This window comes from Homo sapiens, chromosome 4 (assembly GCF_000001405.40).
Source record: "Homo sapiens chromosome 4, GRCh38.p14 Primary Assembly".
Taxonomy (NCBI): domain Eukaryota; kingdom Metazoa; phylum Chordata; class Mammalia; order Primates; family Hominidae; genus Homo; species Homo sapiens.
In genome coordinates this window covers 155516631-155522882 of record NC_000004.12, presented here as the reverse complement: position 1 = coordinate 155522882, position 6252 = coordinate 155516631, and the positions used below count along the sequence as shown (strand labels likewise).

The 6252-nt window shown below is 36.7% G+C and overlaps 1 long non-coding RNA gene across 1 annotated transcript; it reads left to right on the top strand.

Annotated features, from left to right (window-relative positions):
• Nucleotides 1-278: 278 nt before the first annotated feature.
• On the top strand, nucleotides 279-1333 carry LOC105377504 (uncharacterized). Its single transcript, XR_939376.3, has 2 exons — nucleotides 279-831; nucleotides 1078-1333. It is a non-coding gene; the product is annotated as an uncharacterized LOC105377504 (long non-coding RNA).
• The last annotated feature ends 4919 nt before the right edge of the window (nucleotides 1334-6252 follow it).

Genomic DNA, 6252 nt, shown 5'->3' with positions numbered 1-6252 from the left:
CCTAGATTGTGACCATTCTTAACCAGGTCATGTAGCTAGCACATGGTAAAGAATTATTTTGTGTCATCTAGAATGTAAAATTTGAACTATTCTGTAGAGGTTTCCAGGAAACGTTTTAAGATAAATTTAAGAAAGAAGTCTCTAAGGAGTCTTAGAGTTTTATGTAGTTGACATGACCTGTCTAGTGAAATAGTGGACTCCATGTTATCAGAGTTATTCATGAAGAAGCCGGAATATCTACTTACCAGGAAGTGACAGAAATTTCTTGCATTTAGTAAGAAGGTTGTTAGAGGACACCTAAGGCTTTGTCAAATCTTGCTTCCTAATTGTGGGGCTACATGGTGGTGCTTAGAGTGGGATAAGTGGAAAGAGGCCTAGTGCTTACTTAAAAGAGCTGTGGTATAGACTGATTGCTCACACCAACAAAATAAACAAACCTACGCAATGTTTATAAAACTATGTAGTTCAGAATTCAAGGAAGTTGTCCAAATTTCAAGACCCAGACAGTTAAGCTCAGGAGCTTAACTTACAAAGCCAAGAAAGAATTTAAAAATCACGTCAAATCCAGAAACAGGAGGAAGAAAAAAAGCTGGTGTTATCATTTACAGACAAATTCTAACAGAGGAGCAGGCCATAAAAGCTTGGGAAAAAACATTTTAAAGTGTCCAGCTGCCTCTGGTTTATGTGAAGAAAGAAGATGAAAAATGAGAAGGCAGGATCGGTAACCACTTTACCTACAATGGTTAGAGAAGGCGAGAATTGGAATCTGAATGCTAAGAAGAGGCAGCTAAGAGAAGATCTGAAAATCAAACATTTCTAACAGAAGGCACAGTGAGTACAGAATCTGAATATTATGAACAAGCTTGGTGTGTTCAGCAGCAGAAAAGAAGGCCAGAATACCTGGAGTTCGGGGACTAAGAGGGAGGATGGAAGAACTTAAGGTTTAAGTGATAGGCAAGTGATACCCATCCAATAGTCCCATAGAATAGTTTTTTTTCTTTCGGATGAATATAGAAATTGACCCTTCTGCTCTTAAGCTTAAAACTTATATTTATTTTATCTGAATTCCTTCCTCAGGAAAGGGTTCCCAGGAATCTCAAGAAGTATCAAAGAACTGAGACTTACCAGATCACCACACCCAGATAATGAGTTGCCGACCCCTCATTCATCGTGACTGCTTCCTTGCCCCTTCCCAGTTCCTGCTTTCTTATACATTGTTACGTTTCTTCCCTGCTGTCTAAACTCTTACTTTTGGTGGGTCAGGAGATGGATTAGAGACTGATCTCCCATCTCCTGGGCTGCAGCACCCGATTAAAGCCTTCTTCCTTGGCAATACTCGTCATTTCAGTGACTGGCTTCCTGTTCAGCGAGAAGCAGGAACTAGACCAAACATGTTTTGGTAACACAAGGACCACTTCGTGTAGGGTTATGTGGAGTTTGTTAAGAAATTTGGATTTTATTTTGTTTCTAAAGAAAGCCACAGACTTTTTGACATGAACAACTATCAGTGAGAAGATAGTATAGACAGGAGGAAACAAACTCTTTTTACCTCAGACCATCATGGGACAGACAGAGACAGCTGAAACAAGAGACTCAGTCATATTTCCAGGAGAATAAATGCGGTTAGGATTTTGAATTATATGATCAGTGTATCTCTTGGCTATGGGAACAACTCAGGCTTCATGAGGGCACTGCCATGAATATAAGGGGACAATGGAATCTTTATTCACAGAAGTCAAAGATCCAGAGGGGCAAGTAGAAAGTTGTAAAACTTAGGCATAGGGACCAAAGATGATATATGACCCCACAGAATAAGTTAATTTTGGAGAGAACAAAAAGAGCCATGAATCTAGGCAGAATGATTCCTTGATGGCTATCTCAGAAATCTAGGATCCTGAGTCAGATTGATTCTGAGAAAGAACAAGTGGAGAGAGTAGGGGTCTACCAAGCAATGACATTTTGAAGTCCTCATAAGTTTGCGATGCTTACAGCTCTTCTGTAGTTGCTGCCCTTGGCTAGTAACTTGGATATGCTGAACACCAAATGTGGGAAAATCTTGGAGGTGTGGGAAGCTATAAATAAAGACATTGCAATGGAACAGGAGGTAAAAAGTTGCATTACAAAAGCCTGTTTTTAAAAAAATGAAACTTACTAAACTGCATCTGGAAATTACACTGTGTTTGTAAGTTATACAACCAAATGAATATTCCTTCACAAGACTCACCTTGGAAGCCAGACATTAATTTCGAAAAAATGCTTTTTTTTCTCATGGCAATTTCAGAGCTCTTTTACAAGACATGCAGGTGCATACTTTTGTGACCAAACTTGTCTGATCTCTTCAGTAACATTCCTCTTTGATCTGTGACTGAAGGCTGGTTCTCAAGTCAAATCGACTCTAAAGAACGAGTATTTATCACCGCTTATAAGTTTTCACAAAATATTCTTTTAATTTTGAAGACATGTTCAAAATTATTTTGAGTGTCACACCATCATTATAAAGCAAGAAATTCCTGAAGTAACTACAGGATTTTTCTGCTTTCATTTATAATTAATTCTTAAAACTTTCTACGAAAAACTCCACATAAAAAGTCAAATGATAAACTATTCCTTATAAACTATTTTAAACATATTCAAAAATATGTTTAAGCACTGCATATATATTTGTGTTTACCATTTATACTTATTTATTTTCTTTCATAATTAAGCAGACAGTTGGATGACATAAATCTAAAGGGTAGACAATTAAAGCTAAGAATTTCTTCTGTGCCAGTTGTATTGTTTTATCATTTGCATCACATTTTCATTTGTCCATGTTTTAGAACTTTCTAAGTAAAGAGAGTGGAAAGTAATAAAATATTTAAATAATTGCACAAACAGTGCCATCTAGGTAAAAATGTCACATTACACAGTAAGTCTGGAAATAGGTTGTTCAGAGCTAGTAGGTTAGTGCCAATTATTCTTCCCCTCCATCCTACCACGTAGTTCTTACCCTCAGAATTTCCTCATAGACAAGGATGGCTGCTGAAACTTTAGCTCTCATATCTGAGTTGCAGATCAAGTAGAAGAAGAAAGCTAAGAGAATTAAAAATGTGTTCCTTCTAGAAGTAGATTCTCTATAAACAGTTTTCCAGAAGTCTCATACATGTCCATTTGTATCTTGTTGGCCAGAACATAGTCATATGACCACAAGCTGATAAGGAGCTCAGTTAAAAATTGATTTCTCTTCTTAAGGAGGACAGTGAGGGGTCATGAATGCTGAAGAGACAACTAGAACTCTCTGCCAAGATTGAGTTAATTTCCTTAGAATCCTACTCGTGTGGCAGTCTCCATCTTGTTTCCTCAGATCATCTAGACAGGACCAATAATTCTCTCCATTACATTATAACTTCTCTCATATTGAACAAAACCTGAGTACAATTTAGGACATCAACATTTACTTTTGTAATACTATGAAATTTGAAGACTGACTCTTCAACAGTTATTTGATTACATAGATTACTCATGTTTATTGTAAAAGTTTATCACTAAAGGTCCTCTTCATATAACCAAACATCTACTTCACTAGAAGGAACACTGTAGAGGAGGCATTTGAAAATGATGCTTTGAGTTAAAGTTGGTTAACTCTCCGTCAAACTTGTTGGCTGTTATACTTGTGTTTAATATATATTTCCACTGGAGAAATTTCAAAACACTGTAATAGTTAAAATTGAAGTAACTTGAGAAACACAAATCCCACCCCCCTCCTCCCTTTGTTTCTTTACCGAGCAAAGCTCCTTTTGGACAATTTCTCTGACGTATTAATATCTTTCAAATCCATGTCTTGGCTATTGTGATTAATGCTGCAATAAACATGGGAGTGCATATATCTCTTCAAGATCTTGATTTTAATTCAATTGTACAAACATACAGAAGTGGGATTTGCTGGATTATATGATAGTTCTATGTTTAATTTTTTGAGGAACTTCCAAATTATTTTTCATAGTGGCTGCACCATTTTGATTTTCCCACCAACAGTGTACAAGTCTTCCAATTTCTCCACATCCTTGTCAACACCAGTTTTTCAAAAATTATATAATAGCCATTCTAACAGGTATGAAACAATATCTCATTGTGGTTTTGATTTGTGTTTTCCTGATGACTAATGATGTTGAGTGATGATATCTTTTTTTTTTTTTTTTGAGACAGAGTCTTGCTCTGTCACCCAGGCTAGAGTGCAGTGGCGTGACCTCACCTCACTGCAAGCTCTGCCTCCCAGGTTCACACCGTCCTCCTGCCTCGGCCTCCCGAGTAGCTGGGACTACAGGTGCCCGCCACCACGCTCGGCTGATTTTTTTGTATTTTTAGTAGAGACGGGGTTTCACCGTGTTAGCCAGGATGGTCTTGATCTCCTGACCTGGTGATCCACCCGCCTCGGCCTCCCAAAGTGCTAGGATTACAGGCATGAGCCACTGCACCCAGCCGAGTGATGATATCTTTTAACTGTTAGTGGGAATATCTTTTTCACATACCTGTTAGTCATTTTTACATCATTTTGGGGGAAATGTCTATTCAAGTCCTTTGTCCACTTTCTAACTGACTTACTTGCCTTTTTACTATTAAGTTGTTCCTTATATATTTTGGAAATTAATCTTTTATCAGATATATAGTTTATAATTGTTTTCTCCCATTTCATAGCTTGACTTTTCACTCTGTTATTTCTTTTGCTTTGCAAAACTTTTTAGTTTTATGTAATCACACTTGTCTATTTTTCCTTTTGTTGTTTGTGCTTTTGGTGTCATACCCATGAAATAATTGCTGAGACAATGTCATGAAGTTTTTTTTACTTGGAGTTGATTTTTATATATTGTGTGAGAGGAGTGTTCAATTTTATTTTTTTGCTATGGATATTCAGTTTTCCCAACATCATTAATTAAAGAGACTCTCTTTTTCCCAGTGAGTATTCTTGGACCCTTGCCAAACACCAGTTGACCATATAAGCATGAGTTTCCTTCTGGGCTCCCTGTTCAATTCCTTTGTATGATTATTCACAATAGCTATAATGTGGAAATGACCAAAATATTCATTGAGAGATGAATGTGTAAAGACAATGTCTTATAAACATATAATGGAATATTATCCAACCATAATAAACAAATCCTGCTATATAAGAAAGCGTGAATGAACCTTGAGGACATTATGCTAAGTAAAATAAGCTAGTTGCAGAAGGACAAATACTATGTGATTCCACTTATATATGGAGTTCAATATAGTAAAACTAGCAGAAACAGAAAGTAGGATAGTGGTTGCTGGAGGCTGGGTGAGAGGAAAATTGGGATTTGCCATTTAACAGGCATAGTTTCAGTTAGGTAAGAAGAATAAGTTCTACAGATACCTGTAGAACATTATGTAGAACAAATGCTGTACAACATTGTGCCTGTAGGTAACATTACTCTACTATATACTTACAAATTTGATAAGAAGATAGATCTCATGTTATTTGTTCTTGCTGCAATTAAAGAACAAAGAAATAGCAAAATGCATGTGTTGATATTTGAATTCAGAACTTAGATCACTTTCCAATCTTTGTGTGTTACTTTCAGAGTCAATTACTGGCTGGGTGTGATGGCTTATGCCTGTAATTCCAGCATTTTGGGAGATTGAGGCAGGTGGGAGGATTGCTTGAGCCCAGAAGTTTGAGACGAGTCTGGCCAGCATAGTGAGACTCTCTATCTAAAAAAATAAAAAAGGAAAATTAGTGGGGCATGATGGAACATGCCTACAGTCCCACCTACTCAGGAGGCTGAGGCAGAAAGATCCCTTGAGCCCAGGAGTTTGGGACTGAAGTGAGCTGGGATCTCACTATTGCACTGTAGCCTGGGCAACAGGTGAGACCCTATCAAAAAAAAAAAAAAAAGTCAATTACCAATAAATATGAGGACTGGCTATGCTCTGACTTTAAGACTCACACCTTCGAAAGTCTGTTTCTAAATAGGCAGTCATGATAACTGAACAGAAAAACAGAAAATATCGAACAAGAAAGACATTAAAGCAATTAGAAAAGAATAAAATAATCTTGTCTGTAAGGCCAATAAAAATTAGACAAAATAAAATAAAAACGTTAAAGTTTAAATACACTTTCTGATCATGAAAATAATATTATTTGCTAAGATTGCACAAACTATGAAGTTGTAAAGGAGTCTTTATGATTTTGGTTGTCTTGTCCTGAATCTAGGTTTCTAATCCTGCAGTTTTTTATTGTGGTTCAGAGTTTAG